This window comes from Homo sapiens, chromosome 1 (genome assembly GCF_000001405.40).
Source record: "Homo sapiens chromosome 1, GRCh38.p14 Primary Assembly".
NCBI classification, from domain to species: domain Eukaryota; kingdom Metazoa; phylum Chordata; class Mammalia; order Primates; family Hominidae; genus Homo; species Homo sapiens.
In genome coordinates, this window is record NC_000001.11 from 181,703,669 (window position 1) to 181,724,210 (window position 20,542).

General features: G+C 44.9%; 1 protein-coding gene across 14 annotated transcripts in view; it reads left to right on the plus strand.

Annotated features, from left to right (window-relative positions):
- CACNA1E (calcium voltage-gated channel subunit alpha1 E) overlaps window positions 1–20,542 on the plus strand; it is a 490,386-nt gene that overhangs the window by 385,970 nt on the left and 83,874 nt on the right. For all 14 annotated transcript variants that reach the window (XM_017002244.2, XM_017002243.2, XM_017002249.2 and 11 more), the window contains 9 exons: window positions 7,286–7,401; window positions 11,670–11,723; window positions 12,372–12,461; window positions 13,425–13,634; window positions 14,387–14,499; window positions 16,083–16,195; window positions 16,538–16,669; window positions 17,115–17,187; window positions 18,090–18,207. In XM_017002244.2, coding sequence (XP_016857733.1) covers window positions 7,286–7,401; window positions 11,670–11,723; window positions 12,372–12,461; window positions 13,425–13,634; window positions 14,387–14,499; window positions 16,083–16,195; window positions 16,538–16,669; window positions 17,115–17,187; window positions 18,090–18,207 — 1,019 coding nt within the window. The remainder of the gene's footprint in view (window positions 1–7,285; window positions 7,402–11,669; window positions 11,724–12,371; window positions 12,462–13,424; window positions 13,635–14,386; window positions 14,500–16,082; window positions 16,196–16,537; window positions 16,670–17,114; window positions 17,188–18,089; window positions 18,208–20,542) is intronic.

Here is a 20,542-nt window from a genome sequence, read left to right on the forward strand (position 1 = left end):
CATAACTGAAATGTCATGAAGCTGTGGAATAGCACTGGCTTTGGAACGTGATGCTCTAGGTCTGCCGCCACCGCCCTAATCCTTGGAAATGGCAAGTCATCTGACCTCTCTCTATGCCTTAGTTTCCCTGCTTATGGAAAGCCGGTCTTGGACAGGTGATCTGTCAGGTTCCCCTCGCCTGATATCCTGGTCTGTGAGACTCCTGGTCTGTCTTCCATTGCCGTGGACATAAGGTGGTGGAGTAGGAGTGGGATATAGCACTTCATGTAATGCCATTTATTTGCCTTAACCACTTTAGGGAAGGATTTCTGCTCATAGGAGGAGCCTTCTGAAAGCTCCAGATTCTAAGGAAGAATGACCCCATATGATGTCGTCGAGCATTTGCATCACCCATCCTGCTTATTAGAGTCAATAATGGATAGGATTTAGAGGGCTAGCTTCTGTTTTGGCCTTTATTGACAACCTAAGTCTCCTTAAATCCTTTCTGGAACAAGTCAAGGGATAAAGCATAAACAACTTTAATACTGCTGAACTCTATGACCTTCAGGAAGGTGTTTACCTTCTCTGGGGCTGTGTTTGCTTCTCTGAAAAATGGGAGAAATGGTTCCCCAGGCTCGTAAGAACACTGAAAATATAGAAACATTGAAGAGGCTCACCCTAACCCCAACCCATTTTCCAATGGCACTGAAATGAAACCACTGCCAACACAGAATTGCCAATCTTGCTTCCAATTTCTCTGTTAGTTTCAGAACATTTAGGGTTGAAGAGGTTTTTCTTGATGTCTAACCCAAATTCCTCCTTCCTAAAGCAAAGACTTTACAGGAACCTTGGCAAGGTTTCCCTATGGGTAGCAAAGCTCTCTGAAACATGGACTCTGAAGATTAATAGGAATATGACCATGTGGCCATTTGTGTGCTTGGCAGAGTGTGTGTACGTATGCTGCTTGTGCCAGGATGAGTGTGTGTTTCCATGCCAATGTGTGTGATGAAGCATGCAAGTGTGTACAGTAGTGTGGATAAACAGATCTTTGAGTCACACAGGCCAGCCCATCCTGGCACTTTGTCTTCCTTTTGGTTGTCATGACAGCAGCGAGGGGCTGTGCATCAGTAAACAAAGCTCCCTGCATGGAGCCGGGAGGAGAGGTCTGGAGCGAGAGGCTAAAACATGAGTCAAGCAGTCCTCCAACCGAGGCTTTCTTACCCCAGCCGACCTACCAGAACATCTTCATCGCTAGACAAGCATCGAGATACCAGTCCAGGTGCCCTGTGACTGACTCTGGGGTCACATAACATGGGCAGACATTTCAGGCTGGAGCTAGGCTTTCATCAACCTCACTTCTAATCCCCAAGAGTTAGCAACAGCATAATCAAGTCTAGAAATGTGAATGACCGAAGACCCTCCTAGTATCAGCCTATGGGCTAAAACCAGTTACTTCATTAAGGCAGAAATTAGCCACTTTGTGATTTGTCTGTAGCAGTGGCTCCTTATAGGTTCATACATTCATAAAATGCTAATTTTAATAATAACCTAAAATGATTTCAAAGAAGTCTCTGTCTTCTCTCCCCTCATCCCTCCAGGCACACATGATAAATGTTTTGGGCATTCTACCTTGTATGAGATTATGTAATTCTTCCACTTCATCTTAATGATTAATTATATAGAATTAGCTGTGTATGAATAGTTGAGTTTTACAATTTATATTTCTCATGTAAACTGCTGCAGAAAAAAAGCAGTCACAAATACAAATGTAGTAACCAGGATAAAAGAAAACTGTGCTCAACCATGCAGGGCAAAGAGATCCACCTTGTTCTTAGTTTCCATGACTGAAATTTAGAAACCCAAACCTTGCATACATATGTAGCATCTAGAGTAGAGGCTCATCCATGCTTAACTCCAATTCACCTTACTTCCCTGTATGCAAGAGCCGTATGTGAGGGGACCTACAGGTTATCCTCCCTCAGAGGAGCCAGGTTTGGGGCTGGAGGAGCAACCTAAAATTAAGGATGACAGAATTGGGTAAGGAGAAGTATCGGGAATGAAACACGACTTGGATTTGTGTCACTGTACAATCTCTTATGGGAATCTAGTCAGGACTCTCAGAGTCAACCAGATCTATCCCTGCCTCTGGTTATGAGCCTAGGGTTTATGTGGGTCCTAATGTCAACTCTTACTGATGAAGAAATTGAGACAGCAAGGTGACTGTCCAGTTTGTAAGCAGCAGAGGATACCTAGATCCCCAGCTCTGAAAATAGAATGGTGGTGTTTCTGCTGCATCACATGGGGATTTGTTTTTGTTCCCCTTGTTTGGAATTCTGAAATCTAGATGCATCCCTTCTTGATTTCTGTTGCATCTCTCGGTGTAGAAACCCTGGATAGAACAAATGAAAAGGAGCCAATTACCTATCCTCTTACCTTAGGCCACAGGCTGTTGCCAAGGGGCCTTAGGGAATATGAACACTCTTCTTCTATAGGCCAGATTCCCCCTTTTACATTTTCTATGCCTTGCTCCAAGGGAACTGGATAAATTAAGATATTCATAGTGCCCTGCTATGAGCTGCCTTTCAGTGGGGGAATTCAGCAGTCATCTGGTAAACTAAATAACCGTAATATGCATCATCATCCGAATCACCCCAGGATCCTCTGTGAAGAGGACAGGGTACTCAGATCCTCAGAGGAGAGAGGGACCAGTTAAAGGAGTATGCTTTGTTTCGCAGGTCTGGCCACATATATACCCATGAGCCTGATGGGCATGTTAAATCTAAGGTTTATGAAGCTGAATCTTATTTGCTCCTGTTCTCTCCAGAATGCAATATGTGTATGAATAAATGGACACAAAATCAAGCAGTATATCACTAGCTTGACTAACGCTATGAATTTTATTCTAGGTCTTTAATAACCCAACACAGAGCAATGGATTTTTATGCTACTGTCTCAATGAAAAGGATAGTCCCTTAAAGAAAAACAAAACCCATCTGTTTTAATATCCTTATTTTCCTCAACCTTGGGCTGAAATGAAATCCCTCTTGTAGATTTTAAATGTTGACTTCTAGATAGCAGGGAAGACAGCTAAGGCATTGTGGAAACAGCACATAACCTGGAAGAAGACATTAGTTTGAATTTTGTCTCTGCCTCTTGCTAATTGGATTATCTTGGGCAAGTAATCTTTTTGAATCTCGCAGGGCTTTTGAAACTATAAATGAAATAATTTACATGAAAATGATTTGTAAATTTAACAAGTTTAAATGTGTTACATGAACATTAGCTGTTCTTGATATTTTATTTCTATAATCTATGGAATCTATCATACCAGACACTGGGTTAAGCTTCGCTGACCCTTGTTGGAATGTGATACTTGACCTCATGAAGGCTTTACTTGACCTCATGAAGCCTGCAGACTAGTCAGGGAGACAGGCCATGGGTACTAACAATTACAGCAGCGAGGGCAGAGGGGCTGTAAGAGTTAGGAAAGACACAGGTGCTGGACTTGCTACCCAGGTTCCCAATGAAAGAACAAAACAGAAAAGGCTGCTTGATAAAGCATCATAAAGAAGGTCCCCCACATCCTCCATTAAGGTGCTGGAGCTGCTTAGGAGGTACTCCCAGTGGTGCACATTCGTTGCTTTACTTCTTTTAGCCAAGAGGCTTGGCCAAATTGGTTGGGCTCTGGGACTGTGAGTTCCAGCTAGGATGCCAGGTGGGAGGGTGGGAGGAAAGGGAGCCTACAATGGCGAAGAAGAGCAGGGAACCCAGCGAGTGAGACCTGGATCCAGGAAACTTCCAAACACAAGGAGGCATGTGGAAACAGCGCTTAACCTGGAACCGGAAGAGGTTAGATAAAGGGAGGTTAGACGGGGGTTTGTTGGCCTATCCTACCAGAAATCAAGCTACATCGTCATTCTGGGGGCCTTATAAAGATGACATACCCCATTCTTCATAGTCTAATTTACACTGATTATAGTGGAGTCAAATGAAGAGAAACTGGTGGCAGTGTGCAGGAGTTGCTCCTAGTTCACCTGCTCCCTTTGAGTCAGTGCAGAGATGGAGTACTCCTCCTTTTAAGCCTCTGGGAGTCAGGGAAGAACTATGACTTCTCCTAGTTAGCCTGGATATTTGTCATTAAAAAAAATCTACTGAACATATACTATGTGGTAGGCCTATTCTAGTCTAGGAAGATAGAAAGTTGAGTAAGGCACAGAATGTTTTTGCAAAAAGCTCACATAGAAGGAGAGACATACAGCTGACCATAGTAAAGGTCTGACTGCAAGATGAGCTCTAAAGGGATGGGGAAGAGGTAGACTGGAGGCCAGAAGGTTGGGGTGCAGTGATGGTGGGACCCAAAGAGAAGAGGCAACATTTCAGCCTGGCCTTGAAGAAGGATTTTGACTCAGGCAGATAAGCATTGTGCACTAGCCTTGAACGCCCATCCTGCCTTTTCAGTAAGTGTGGGAAATGTGCTGTAGTTGAAGTGTGGCTGTGGTGGGCTGTAGGCAGGCAGGGGGTGGATAGGGATGGCAGGAGGAGATAAGGCTTGAAGAGAAAGGTTTGGCTACAACTGTGTAAGACTTTGAACGTCACGCTTGAAGGCTTCATCCTCTTCATTGAGCAGAGGGTGATGGAAGCCATAGAAGAGGGGCTAATAGAGTAGAAAGAGATGAAATTTAGAAGATCTGAGAGTTGTGGTTCCTCTGAGGGGCTATGTGTCCTTGGACACTTGCCCTCTCAAAGGGCCACTTAAGTCACTTTAGATTCAGTTTTCTGAGCTGGAAAATGGATATGTTGGTCATAATGCTTATCCTAGATGCTCAAGGATGATCATGTTCCTCCGGTCGTAGCCTGCTTCAATTCTCCTCTTTCAAGGTCTTGCTCAAAATATCACCTTCTTATTAAACCTCCCTGGATTCCCCCAGGGTTGAGAAATCAAGACACAGACCTATGAAAAGGTAAAGTAACATATAAAAATGCCATTTGGCTAGGCAAATATGTGGTGCATGAAGGACTTGGGCTCTTACAAGAGAAAGGCCTGGGTTCTAATCTTGGCTCTGTTTCTTACTTAAACTCCATCAAGTTGCATAACTTTTAAGTTAAGGATGAAAATACCTATTCTACCTTCTTCTCAGAATGGTTGTAAAGATTAAATGAGCAAAATATATGAAGGTGCTTGGTAAATTAAGATGTGCTCTACACATGTTACTTGCCATGGTTAGTACTGGAGGTTTGGAAGTGGTAAGATCCAGTGAATGACCTTTTAAAAAGATAACGTTGATAGTGTGAGATGGGTGAAAGGAGGAGAAAGAGACAGGAGGTTGAGAGACCAGCCGGGTGCTATTGCAGTGGTCCAGGCAGGGAAGGATGAGATCATGGATCAAGATAGTGAGGATGGAGAGGCAGGGTGAATTCAAGTGCTTTTATGAAGGTAGAACCAACAGGACAATGGTACTAACTGGACAGGAGGGATTGAAAGAAGCAAAAATCCAAAGGTAAGAATTTTGGTGGATGGTGATGTCATGAACCAAGCCAGCCCCTTGTTACTTTCAAATTTCTGAAATTCAGAAAGTAGAAAGGAGGCATCCCAGGGCTTGAATTCAGTTATCCTGGCCCTCACTGGCCCTGGTCACTCTTCATTTTGACTCTTTCCTTCCCTTCCCCCATAGCACCTTTAGTAGAACCCAATGAACCTGAAGCCAAGCACAGGAGAATTTGTCCTTCCGGTGTGCCTTTCCCTACACCTTCTGCCTGATTGTAAGCAGGTGGCTGTACCCAAGGACACCAGCTCTATTTTGGCAGGAGGGCCAGGTGTGACACGAACAGGTGTCTGTTGGCATTATGGTAGACTGGCGTCTTCCCTTTCCCTGCACTGTAGCTGGGGCCCATCCCCCAGCCCCTCATTCATTTCTTCTTTCCTAGACATGACAGAGAAACTGGCAGGACTTACAGTGGGTGCTGGACTCCCTCAGATTCAGTCTGCAGCTCTATTTTTTTTTAAACGTCTTGCTCTGTTGCCCAGGCTGGAGTGCAGTGGCATGATCACAGCTCACTGTAACCTCGAATTCCTGGGCTCAAACAGTCCTTCCACCTCAGCTTCCCAAAGTGCTGGGATTACAGGCATGAGCCACTGTGCCTGGCCTGCAGCTCTTTATGGGGATCACATTTAATAAGTAGAACAGCTTCCCAGGTAGTAGGAGAACACCTGAGCCATGGCTGGGAGGCACTGCACTGGTAAGGGCATCCTAGCCTGGAAGGGTGTTTGGTGATGAGAGAGGCATTGCTAGAGGTGGCTTCTGGAGGAACCTGTTAGCAAACTGTGATTTATTTATCCCCATTCTTTCACCCAATAAATTTGATCCTCCTCTTCTCTATCAGGGAGCCCTTAGTCCTCTTCTCTTCTCTTTCTCCCATGGAGCTGTAGCCTTCTCATTCCTGTTGTCACACGGAGTGGCATTGGCCCCCTGAGCCCATCTTGGGCTCTATCTTCTTCCTGACCCTGACCTTCACCTGAGTGTTCCCTCTGCCTCATGATCTCCCCTCCACCCCACCCCCACCACCTTCCCACTGGCTTTATGGGAGTCAGGTGTCCTTCTCACGTCCCTTCCTTTCTTATTTAACTGACATCAGTCACCTTCGAATAGCATTTTAGCCTTTGAAGTCATCAGGCTCATTGATCTTCAGTGGCAGCTTTTATTGAGCACTAGAGTACAGGACAGCAGAGGCAACACAGCATTGTGGTTAGGGTTCAAATCCCAGCAAGGCATTTCACCTCAAGAAACCTTGGCTTCCCCATCTGTTAAATGGGAATTTTAATAGTATTAATACTTCATAGGATGGTCGTGAGGATGAAATGAGTTAATGGGTGTAAAAACCTTGATACAGGGCCAACACATCATAATTGGTCAATATACGTTAATCACTATTGTTATCAAAAGGAGAAAGAGTAGCTGTGCCCTTCAGAGGGTTAAGGGTTTTTGTTGTAGCTGAAGAGGTGGAACATGGCATTTTGAAACCTAGTTTCTCACATGGCTAAGAACATACCTTTCAAAACAGAGCAAGCAATCAGTTGGTCCTGACTGGAATGCAGCTAGTCTGGGAAGGCTTCCTTTGTGAGGCTGAATGAGGTGTGTTTCTGTGTAACATTGTAAGGAGGTCATATTTGCAGCCTGGGTCAGGGGAAAGGGTACATGGGCTTAATAGAGGTACTTGCTCAGATGCTCTCTCTCTGTTGCTTGATTCACTCTTTCCCTTAGTCATGGCCCTGTCCAAACCCAGTGAATCTTATCCTTCTTGTCCACAGGGAATTTGCCAAAGAGAGAGAGAGAGTGGAGAACCGAAGGGCTTTCATGAAGCTGCGGCGCCAGCAGCAGATTGAGCGTGAGCTGAATGGCTACCGTGCCTGGATAGACAAAGCAGGTAGGCCTGGGGGGCTGCAGGAGGCTGGTGAGTGGGCTGCAGAGACATCAGGGCCGGCCCCTCACTCCCAATGCTCCCATTCAAGGGGCAGCCTAGACAAGACAAGAGAGACACTCTGGATGCTTGGTTGGCTCTTAAGGTTCCCTGCTCATCCGACTTTCTTCCTCTGGGGTCTAACTGTCCTGTCTATCAAACTGTCCCAACACCTTAAGGCAGGCATCTTAGCAAGGTGAACTGAGTAAAAGTAACATAACCCAATCCTGGAGCTGAGACTGGGCTGATGGCGTTTTGTAATACCGTTCCTGGTGCTCACAGCAGTCCATTCATTCAGCAAATATTTATTGAGTGCCTACTTTGTGCCAGACCCTGTTCTAAGCACTTGGGATATGGCAGTGAGCCAAACAGTCAACCAGCTCACCAAAGCTCTTCTCTTGTAAAGCTCTCTAGTTGGCTAAGGCAGCGATAAACAAAATAATAAATGAGTAACTTATAAGACAATGATAAGGTGGTAAATATGATGGGAAAACTGATCAAGTTAGGGGTATGGGATATAGAATGTGCCACAGTTTTAAATAGGAGGTCAGGGTGGGCCCATTGGTGTGTAGACTTGAAGAAATGAAGGAGTGAGCCAGAAGAAGTTCTGGGAGAGGAGTATTTCAGCGCCAAGTACCTAACATGGGAGTGAGCTGGGGTGCCCAAGGAGCAGAAGGGGGAAGGAATAGGGAGGAGGAACAGGAGACAGAGTGACAGCTGTCATGGGGGAAGTGGGCAGCAATCGTGTTTGACCTTATGGGGCCTTGTAAGGGCTATGGGCTTCACTCTGAGTGACACAAGAACCATGGGAGGGTTTTGAGCAGAGGACTGACGTGCTGGCCGCATTGAGAATAGACCATAGAAGGATAAGGCTGGAAGCAGAGGGACTAGTAGTGCCGCCATCTAGGGAGGAGATAATGGTGAGAACAGGTGTTTTCCTAAGCCTTGAGCTGTCATCAGTTCTTACCCTGTGACTCAACATTAGGAATAGTTCTCAGCTGCCTGTGAGAATAGGTCCAAACCTATCATGATTTCATTAACCCACAGAGCCACCAGATTCAAGTTTGGCTGTGGCTCAGATGCTTATGAAGGGCATCAATCACCCCCATATTTGTCAATAAAAGGGACGGGTTTGCTTTCTTTATTATTTTAAAGGTTGGTTTGCATTAGTATTATATATCTTCATTTTCTTCCAGAGGAACAAGTGATTTCTTAAATAAAAACTACACGTATGACAGTATCTTTTCTCTATTCCTAATAGAAAACATAGCACAAAAGTGAGGTCACAGAGGAAAAATTTGGAGTATGATTTAGTGCTTAGTTGCTTGAGCCTTATTCTTCTGTAGGAGCTTTGGAATGACACTATAACACTTACTGTGACTGCCAACACACAAAAACCCTCTCTAAGCTCTGCAGTCAACTTTTGGTGACCTCCAAGGGTTGAGAGGGTACCTGTATGATTGCGATCTGCACTCCCTTGTAGCCTCTGGAAACATGAGCAATGTGTGTTGACTATACTTGCATTTCGCCCTTTCTCCTCCAAGGCTGTTGTGTAGGGATGAAGTGGACACAAATATCCCCTACCGCTTCCCAGAATGGTAACTCAGGCTTACCATGGGAGGTCAAGCAGATTTGCCTCTAGGCCAGGAAGGCAGCTTGATGGTCCCAGCTGTCCTTGGCTTTCTCGGCGGAGGAGCCATCTGACAGACCACTAAGAGAGCTGGCAGCAGACCCAGGAAGGAGCCCGCCCAGCCTTGGCCACCCCACACAGGTCAGGTGGCAGGGTATGCTGCTCGCTGGGGCTCTGCTTTTCAAATACTTGCAGAATTCCAAGGCTTCCCTTTCTTCCAGTTGGCAAAGCCAGCTCTCTCCTCCTTCTAAGAAAAAAGACGCACTGCGACGTCAAAGTGTGCTTCCTGGCCCTTCCCTTTACAAATGGAGCGCCAGTGAATCAGAGACAGATGGGTTACATTTCCCTGGAAAGACACTCAAGTTCTAAAGCGAACTTGGCAAAAGGCATGGGGTGAGGAGGAAGGGGGATGGCTTCAGCAAATCCAGAGCCCTTGAGTGCTTCCCAGAGATCTCGGCAGCACCACACACCTTCCATCTGTCCTGGGGGGTCCCCAGATCTGCTCACCCCAAAGCCCAGACACTGTGCACAGCAAAAGTGACTTGACTGTCTGGCTAAGATAATTAAAGTTGCTATGAGGTATTTTAACAAGTTCCTAATTTTTAAATGATGCCCTCCAAACACGTGCTATAAAATGACTTAAAAACCCTTTATGTCTGCAGGAAGGAGTGCCCCACCAATAACACTTAACCTGTTAATTTAGCGTTTTGCCAGAGGCTATACTTAAAAAAGAAAGCAAACATTTATGACTTTGTAATAATGGCCATCCGGTGAGTACCATCCCAGCCTTAAAATGTTCCCCTCCCTAGGAAATACATTATGTACTCTCAGTTTTATCTGTAGCTGGAATTACGGTAATGACTTTAACCTCTCCTACTGTCCTTTTACTTGTTAAAAGTGTTTAAATTAAACCATTGTTTAGTAGGGTCTGAAGCTAGCTTTCCCCCAGCAGCTGGGATCTTAGGGAATGTTTAACGAGGCCTCTGGCTCCCTGGCCTATGGGTTGAGCTCAAACTCATCCCGTTACTCCTCATAGGGCATGCAGGATCCCACCAGACTTGGGAGAGAAGGGCTATTTTGTTGATGCACTTGGAGGGATGCTAGTGAGGTTTGGTCTAAAAGTCTTAGTAGAAAATATTCCCCTTCAGATGATGACACCTCAGTAGAGTATGGGACTGCTCCTGGGGACACCAAGTGGGAAGAGTACAGGGGACTGTCTGGTGTCATTTTAGAACTCCAACAAGCAAATATATTATTTCATCATCAACCAGTCCTTCAGTTCTCTAACACCAACTAGGTGTTCAACAATCAGTTAAATTCTAACACGAAATACTACCTCAAATTAGCATAGACCCCACAGGTTAAAGGCTCGGTTCCACAGGACTGCCCCCACTTTAGATGGCAGCCAAAAGTGGGATCTCCAGGCAACCAACATATCTGCCTGGCTGACTACAAATCTGGGGTTCCCACAACCATCACCCCACTCCCCACTGGTTCAGTAATTTGTTAGAATGACTCACAGAACTTTGGCAAAACCATACTGTATTATAAAGGATACAACTCAGGAACAGCCCAATGGAAGAGGTATATAGGGCAGGGTATGGTGGTGGGGAGCACAGAGCTTCATGTCCTCTCTGGGAACACCACCCTCCCAGCTCACTGATGTGTTTACCAACCCAGATGCCTCCTGAACCCCAACATGCTGAACCCCAACATTTAGCATGCCCATCATTACATAGGCATGCTCGATTAAACCATCGGCCATTGGCAATTAAACTAATCTCTAGTGCCCCTCCTCCCTAGAAGTGGGAGTAGGGGGAGGCTGAAAGTTCTAGCCTCCAGTCCTGTGGCTGTTTGTTCTGGCTACAAGCTACCTCCTCTAACCTATCCAGGGCCCCTCTCTCCTCCATGAGTCATTTCATTAGCATATGAAAGACTGCCAGGAACCAGAGACAAAAACCAAATACTTTTTAAATTTTATCTTAGGGACAAATTCATGATTGGCCCAAGCCTCTTTGGCTCAGGCTCTGGTCAACCAACAAAGGATGGAAGCCATGGGGACAGGAGGAAACCCACAAGCCCCCCTCCTGTCTCCAAGGACCTTTGGGCATCTTCCTCTGACTCCTCCTCAGAGACATAGAATAAAGCCCAAAACATGGGCTCAGCTCCTGAATGAGGGTGTAGATGTTATAACCCATGGCCACTGGCAAGAGAAGCTAAGGAAGCTGTTGCTGCTAGAAGTTCAAGGAGTTAGGAAAGACAGGAAGCTGGGTGGAATTAAAAACAGAAATGGAAATTTTTCATTCCTATCAAGGATTTTAGCTTCTTCCTCTCTTCTCACAGGTATCCTCCTGAACAGGAGTATCAGACACAGAGCCGATTGTTACCCCAAACACCCCCTCCCCGAGGCTTCCTTTCTGTTCTCAGGAGCTCTCTGTGCACCCTCTGTGACACTTGCTTTCTTTCTGATGCTGGTGCCTGTGACAGGCTCTGAACTCTGCTCTCTCTCTGTTGCCCTGAGCTGAAGTTGTCCCTGAGGGATTTTAATCTTGCAGAATAATTTGGCATTTACAGATAATTTACCAAACCATTTGTTTCCATATAGAGGAAGTCATGCTCGCTGAAGAAAATAAAAATGCTGGAACATCCGCCTTAGAAGGTAAGGAAATGTTCTGATGCCTTATTCCAGTTGCATTTGCCCCTCTTAGGCGATGGCAATCTCTGTTATTCAAAAGGAGAGAAAGAAATGAAAGATGGTGTTCTGGGATTGGAAATGAGAGTCTTTCTGTCATAAAATCCCTCATGCTTTAAAATGAAGGGAATTGAGTCACAGATTTAAATGCCTTTTAAAGTGATGAAAATGAAACCCAAGAGTTGCTTTGTTCCAGGGCATGTGATTGATACTGAGCAAGGAAAAGGCCATCCTACAACCAATGCTATCTAAAGGGACCTTCTCTTAAAATGTGTGGGGATCACCTTGAGACCACTTTCATTACCAGGAAGTGGCATTGTAGATGAAGAGCCAGGACAGATGGATACGGAGTGCCTGTTTACCTCCTGCATTTAGATAGGCTCTAGCATGGCTTCCAGAGCTCTTGTGTTGCAGGAAGGTGCTGGTGAGCACAGCATTTGCGGTCCGGTAGACATCCGTGATTTCTGTTACCCTGGCTCAGGTATTAAAGGCAGATAGATGCCTGTGTTACAGGGGCCTCACACAAGGCATCTTGCCTGCATTCCTCAAAATTTTGTCCAGAATGGTCTGGGTGTACTTGTGGCCTCTCACTGGTCTTCCCTTTCCCTGATGCAGTGCTTCGAAGGGCAACCATCAAGAGGAGCCGGACAGAGGCCATGACTCGAGACTCCAGTGATGAGCACTGTGTTGATATCTCCTCTGTGGGTGAGTGGATCCAGTTAGATCTTTTACTGCTCTGAATCTCCCACGAAAAGGAAGATCCTGTCTTTTGAGAAGCACCACAAGGAGGGAAAGAATCCAAAGGGTCCAGAATTTAGGAATGTAATTAAGGAAAAGGGTGGAAATCGAATCTAGATTACAATGATTTATTTAAAAAAAAAAAAAAAAGGACCTGGGGATGCTATTTATTCACACGAAACATGGGATTTAGGGCTAAGAATCCAACCCAAGTTTTTCAGGTGTGGCAGATGTATTCCATTTGCAGAAGTATCCACCCTCTCCTGGGAGTGATGATGAGAACCCACTATGGGACATTGTTCAAAGGATCCTGAGGACCTGTTGCTTCCAGGGACACGGATGTGAGATCTTGAAGCCATTTGCTTAACAACAGTAGCCCCCACCTACTTCCATCATGTGAAATTTAAACTAATTCTGATTGGCAATTATTTAACATTATGTGTTCCATCTCAGGTGCTCCTAGAGATTCTGGCTGATGGCAGGTTTTTCCTCCCCAGAAAAAGGGAAAGGTCTTGTTCCATCCTCAAAAGCAGAAGAGACTTACAAAGCTCATTGCTGTTTTGTGCCACCAGTGGTAGAAATATCACCAGTGTAGCAGAAGAATTCCAGTGCTTGAAGCTATTTTAAAAGGAAAGGGCAGAAAGAAGCCCAATCTGTTAAAAACATAAACACGATCCTATTAAGATTCAAGACACTGGTGTCCTGTCTGGGGAATCTTTCCATTTCTTAGGACTGAGAGTGCCCAGAGAGGAAAAACAGGGTCACTGCCTATAGAAACTACTGAGCCCGTAAGATGGGGATTCCCCACACCTGCAATGTGGCAGTCACCTTGCCCTGGGACTAGAGCAGCCCATCTTGCCCTTCGAATGCTCCCTGGCCCGGACCACAGGATATTTTGCAGTCTCATTCTTCCTTACTTCTCCCTCTTAGGCACACCTCTGGCCCGAGCCAGTATCAAAAGTGCAAAGGTAGACGGGGTCTCTTATTTCCGGCACAAGGAAAGGCTTCTGCGCATCTCCATTCGCCACATGGTTAAATCCCAGGTGTTTTACTGGATTGTGCTGAGCCTTGTGGCACTCAACACTGCCTGTGTGGCCATTGTCCATCACAACCAGCCCCAGTGGCTCACCCACCTCCTCTGTAAGTAAAGCCTCTCTCTAAAGCCTCCTCTGCTGGTCCCCATGTGGGGCAGCTTGATGTGTGTGTGAACGCAAGACAGCAAAGCACCCTGCTAGGAAAGGTTCTACCTCTTCACGCTGTGAGGGAGGCCACATCGTCCTCAAGGGGGCTGGAGTATCTCATGACTGTTTCCAGCTTTCATTCTTTAGGTAAACAGATCATTGTTGATGAATCAACAAGATAGCATAACGTTATACCTTTGGGTACCATAAAGCCTTCACTTCCTTTCTTAAGGAGGCTCAATGATCAGGAGTTTTGATCATTGAAATCCTGGGCAGGAAGTTCTCAGGGCAATGGAGACCTCAAATAGACCAGAAGAAGAGCTTATAGGTCAGCTCCAGATTAGACTGCCACTGGGTGTGAGTGAGGGTCAGGGGCCTGTCCCTGCCAGGCATGTAGGGAGGAATCCAGCTCTTTGATCAAAGCCATAGTAAGTCCTCTCTTTCCCCCTGAGGGCCCTCTACCATATAAAGACCAGTGACAGGCCTACCTATTGAAAGAGAGCAATGCTGATCTCTTGAGTGCACCTGGGACTCGGCCTGGGTCAGAGGGTACTCGGACATCATTAGGCTCTGTCCAGCCCTGGCCTGATGTGGCCACCGAATGTCCTGACGTGTGTTGTTGTGAGATCCTCTGTAGGTGGGTGTGTTAGCTGAGAAGTGCATGAGCCCACCCCACATGTGGAACCAATGCTCTACTTTTAATACTTCCAGACTATGCAGAATTTCTGTTTCTGGGACTCTTCCTCTTGGAGATGTCCCTGAAGATGTATGGCATGGGGCCTCGCCTTTATTTTCACTCTTCATTCAACTGCTTTGATTTTGGGGTAAGTCCTCGGAAGCCTGCCTCTGCTCCTGCTTCGTGTTGATATGCCCTGGTTTTAGATAAGCAGCTTGCTCCTTACTCAGCATGAGGCACTGAAATCAGAATATGTAAAAGCGGAATAGATAAGATTAGCTAAAGGGAATTCAGAAGCGAGTGAATCCTTCCCATGCAGGGTTTGTTTGTTTTTCTGAGCTCTTTGATTTTCAATATTTTTATTAAAATGTAACACATACATTATAGAGGGTACACTTAAGTGTATAGCTCCGTGAGAGTTTACAAAGCTACCCATAGCCAGAGTTTTGAACCACTTATTATCTTGGGGGAAGCCTGAAAAGGACAAAGGACTTGATTTTAGAGGTGGTTCCATAGGAAAGAGAAGCTTATATATTTGTTTTTCTACTTCAGTTTAAAATTGGGATAATTATCTAGATAGACCCTCATTCAAACACACACACACACACACACACACACACACACACACACACACACACACACACACACCCTTATATTAGCAAGTCCTCACAGAGAATATCTCAGTCAGCTGTTTACTTTCTACATAGCATGGATATCTAAATGTATACATTGTGCTAACACTTCAAGGTGCTTTCACGTATCTTTTATTTTTGTCCCCTGCCGCTTACAGGAGTCCTATGAACTACATTACATTTCAGGAGTTAGCCTTCCCATTTACACAAGAATAAATAGAAGCTACCGTGCCCAAGTTCATATACCCAGTTAGCAGCAGAACTGGGTCGCAGAACTTTGGGCTCCTGAACCACTTCTCTTTCTGTCAATCCCACTACTTTTTCTGCCAAAGCTTCAGTTAGGTGCTAAAGATTTTGAACACTTGCTAATCTACATTTTAACTTGGAACATATGGTTCTGAGTACGGGCAATTTTCAGGCATAACAGCTAGTGAGAGATCACTTTAACCTCAGTTTCTTTGTGTCCGTACCTTTCGGCATTGCTGTCAGGATTAATAGTTGTTGTTTCTCCTAGCACAATATCTAGAACATAGTGGACATTCAATAAATATATAATTAAAATAAAAGAAATAGAAATGTTCATCTGAAATTGCTGCATCTTGCAGCAATCAGATCCTACATCACCATGAACTGTCACATTGCGGGATGCAAGACCTCCATGACTGAAAGATATTTATTATATCAAGGACCAAAACATTCTTGTTAGCACTAAATTTTAGGATGATGAGAGAATGTAGACCTTCTCTGAGATTTCTGTATTGAGAAGCAACTTGTACTAATCAGTTTCCTTGGTTTGAGTACCACTCCTTTGTCAGAGCAGCAGAAGCAGCAACTGGCTGTTGTAGTTTTCACCAAGGACAGGAGTCAGTAAGCCAATCTACAGTGTGAAGGATTAAAGTTAGGAAGGGGATTGGAGAGCAATGGGAGAGAGGTGGCAGCTTCCCACATAGGTAGTTCTACTGAAGGTAGGGCTGGTGGGAGAGGAGAGTTTTTATTTCCCCATCCCCCACTGAGAGCTGTTGATGGTGTGCTGGGCGCTAGAATGCCCCCTCTTCTCCTCTTCCTCCTCCTCTCACTGTGGCTGGCATTGCCTCTCTAGGTCACAGTGGGCAGTATCTTTGAAGTGGTCTGGGCAATCTTCAGACCTGGTACGTCTTTTGGAATCAGTGTCTTGCGAGCCCTCCGGCTTCTAAGAATATTTAAAATAACCAAGTAAGTGATCAGAATTTGGACTTTTCCCAATGTCTTTGAGAGTAGAACCTTTTTTCTGCCTTATATTTTCTTCCATCTTCTCTTTCCCCCTTAGGGGGAAAGTATCCCTTCCCTGCCCCACCCCTTTTCTATTCTTTAGCTCTTCCTTTTTCTCCAAAGATTAAACCAAAAATATCTATGGTGCCACATTCCCAAGGGGAGCAATAGGTTTCTGCCCTCTTTACTTCCTACAAATATACAAATGCAGCTTATTTCATAGACTACCAGGCATATGCTGAGCTGGGCTTGGTGGGTGACTTGGTATGCAGTGTTCACAGCTGTCACATTGTCTGGGTTTTGTAGGTATTGGGCTTCCCTACGGAATTTGGTGGTCTCCTTGATGAGCTCAATGAAGTCTATCATCAGTTTGCTTTTCCTCCTCTTCCTCTTCATCGTTGTCTTTGCTCTCCTAGGAATGCAGTTATTTGGAGGCAGGTAAGTGCCCAGAAGCTTTCCATCCAAAGGAGGCTCAAAACCCAGTCGTAGCCTGTGTTGGGCTAGGGTCATTAACTCAATCACCATGTTACTATCCTGTCTGCCTTTGCCCATGGCCTGAATTAACCACTGAGTGAGTTCATATGTGGAGTAAACGTCTCTGCTTTTATTCCTTTCATGCTGTACAGGGTTCTCATTCCGGGGACCCATCTCTTTGGTGCTGTCCCTGAAATGTGCAGCGTGGGCACATTCTTCAAAGTGCATAGTTTATCAGTAGTAGTCACTGTTACAGTCTTTGTAAGTTATGTGGAATGGGGAAAAAGTAGGGAAGAGGGGGGTTGTAGAAGAAAGGAGAAAAGAAGTGATGAAAGCTGTGATCTTGGGGAATGGAAAACTTGGTATGTGAGATTTTCATTTCATTATTTTCTCTAATTTTGTTTTTCAGGTTTAACTTTAATGATGGGACTCCTTCGGCAAATTTTGATACCTTCCCTGCAGCCATCATGACTGTGTTCCAGGTATGAGGCCAGCTGACGGTTCACAAGTGCTGCATGGGGTCCCTTGGACTGCACACTGCAAGACAAGGATGAGTTTCAGGATAATTCTGCTTTTCCTTTCCAGGCTCCTCCCAGGGGATTGAGGCACTCTTTCTAGTTGAGCGGTCATTACTACAATAATCCCTAGAACTTCTGTGGCTTTGTTCTTACCAATAGTAAGAGAGCTCTGTTGGGACCATCTCACTGTCCTTCTCTCACACCTGTGAGTTTGCAGGAGACACTGAGTCTGAGGCATTCAGCCAAGAATCACATCTATGGTTTTCTGAAATCTAGGGGCATCTTCTAACCCATTTAATGAGGTATCCATTAAATGGTGTTTATTTAACAAGGTCTCTTTTCCATCCCTACTCCCCCCAAAACTCAACCGTTTAAATCATGGGGAAAACTCAAAATCAATAGTGTCTTAGGCCTAAAGAAAAATACTGTTTGGCCAGAATCTGAGGTTGGACCACAACCCGTTTCCTGAACTGCAGCCCACAAGGCTCTTTCCAATCATGCTGCTGTTCCAGACCCTGTATCTGGGCAGCTCTGAGGACAGTTAGGTAATGACCAGACCACCTGATCTGTGTCATTTCCACAAGGACCTTGCAAAACTGGAGGTGGGAGACACTCTGTAGTTGGAGGAACAGAATCTTTCCCTTTGATGCTCTCCTTCCATTTTCAATGCCTAAAATTCTTTTCCATACGAAAAAAAAGTTTAGGATTATTTATGGAAATGACTTTTTTTTTTTTTAACTCCCTGGCAAGATTGTCAAGCAAGGGGGTAGATGCAAAAGACCCAGGCCCAGAATTTGCCCTTGGCATTGGCCCCATTTTCTCCTCCAGCCCAGGTTTCTGATGCGCCTGTCATTTGCTTTTTGTAGATCCTGACGGGTGAGGACTGGAATGAGGTGATGTACAATGGGATCCGCTCCCAGGGTGGGGTCAGCTCAGGCATGTGGTCTGCCATCTACTTCATTGTGCTCACCTTGTTTGGCAACTGTATCCTTTTTAAGATGCACCTCCTCAAGCTGCCTGCCTTCCTGGACCAGCATTTGAGGAGGCATTGGTGGTGGTGGTGCTAGAGCTTGGGTTGGTGGGACAGGGGCGTGGACATTGTTTGGTGTACTAAAGTAAATAAGGATCCTGATCTGAAGGACTTTATGTACTAGTTGGGTAAAGAATACAAACGTAAACAAGATAGAGTATTATCCAAATCTGTAGTGTATGCAAAGAATAACATAGGAGGCTGTTACATTGAATGGTTGGAGGTACTATGAGCTGGGGAACATTAGACAAAGCAGAGATCACTGTAGGCTGAAAGAGGCACATTATACCACTAATGAATTAATTACATGCTAATGTAGAACAGAGCCTGCCACATAGTAAGATCCCAAAAAATTAGTGTTAGGATTAATGCTATTACTGCTAATTATAGCAAATATGTATTGTATTTGGGCTATACGTGAGACCTTAAACTAAGTGCTTCATAGGCACTATTTCATCTAATCCTTACAAGACAGAGAAAAAAATATCTCGAGTAAAATAACTACTAAATTGTAAAGGGAAACTAAAGTCCAGTTCCATCTAACTCCAGTGCCCTATCCAATCACAAGATCTAGAACAGGAAATTTAGGTTTTAATCCCAGCAACTCTGTGTATCAGCTGTGTGGCCTTGGGAAAGTTACTTAATGACTCCAAGCTTCTATTTTTTACAACTGAAAGGAGAATAATAATATTTATCTCCTTTGTTCGTGGTGAATACTAAATGAGATAATTTATTTGCATGTGATTTATAATTACAAACTTCTATACAACTGTTAGATGCTTTTGGGGAGTTGGGTTGGCCGTGAATTGGGATTAGTAGAACAGAAAGGCAGAACCATGGGACGCAGGTGTATTTTTGCATTTTCCATAGTTTCATAGAGAAGACATGCTGTTTTACGTTTTCTACCCTGAAAACATCTAGAGGTTGGGACAGACTAGAAGCTCAATATGAGAAACTCATGAAAAGAACACTAGGCAGTAAGTCACAGACATGGAAGCTCCATGTGTCCCAATGGCACCATCATTTTCCTGATATTCTGGGGGTAGTCAGAGCTGGGCTTTGATGCTAGAACAGTTCTATGTTCCACAACACATAGGCTTTGAAGAGAGTTGGAAATTGAGACTTCAGGCACTAGAGTATGGCATAGGAATAGATTTCATAGTGAATCATGTCTGCTGTGTCACATTTTGTTAAATGAAATGTGGAACCCTTCAGGACCCTCACAAGAAGAATGGGAGAAGTTAGCATCTCATTATTGGGAGATGCTCAGTAACAGGGGCTCTGGAATCTCATTCTTTTTGTCGTTAAGGACAGAATGGTGTGACGCCCATTGGTCTAGGTAGGATTCAATTCCAGCCTCCCAGAATGGGGAGATGAGCTCCCATACTGAGCTCCCTACACATCTCGTTCAGTGATTCTCTTAGTTGTTATTGCTATGGGTAGAGGCCACAGCTGTCTAAAGACCTTTTGAATGTGGCTGAACAAACTCAAAGTGCTTTTTCTGTTCCCTTACTCATCAACAATTAATGCAGAAGACTTCTGTAACCAAATGCGTGGGTTTTTTTACTCACCAACAAGCAAGCAATCCGGCAGTGGATACTAATTGGTGTCCTCTAATTCAATTCTGACGCTATCTACCTGGAGATAGCATCAGATCCCACAGGTCGATGGCTCAATCCCCAAGACTGCCCCTGCCTTACGATGACGATTGCATGCCTCAGGTTACTTTACCTGTGTTTTGAAGGCTATAATTCGGGGTTCCCACAACCCCCTTCCTGGGTTTGGTTAATTTGCTAGAATGGCTCACAGAACTCAGGAAAACACATTTACTGGTTTATTATAAAGGATATTACAAAGGATGCAGTTGAAGAGGGGCAGAGGGAAAGGCATGGGGATGGGCACAGAACATTCATATCCTCTCCGGGAGTGCCAGTCTCCAGGAACCTCCACATGTTCAGCTATCCAGAAGCTCTCCGAACCCTGTCCTTTTGGATTGTTATGGAGTCTTCATTACATAGGCATGATTGATTAAGCCATTGGTCATTGGTGATCAACTTAACCTTCAGCCCCTCACCCCTCCCCAGGGGTTGTGGGGGTAGGGCTGAAAGTTCCAACTCTCTAATCATGCCTTGGTTTGGTGACCAGCCCCCATCCAGAAGCTACCTAGGGGCTACCAGATAACACTTTGGAGTTTCTAAGGATTTAAAGAGTTGTATGCCAGGAAACACAGTTAAAGACCAAATAATAATTTTTCACAGTATCGTAATTTTCCTCACCCCATCTGGCCCC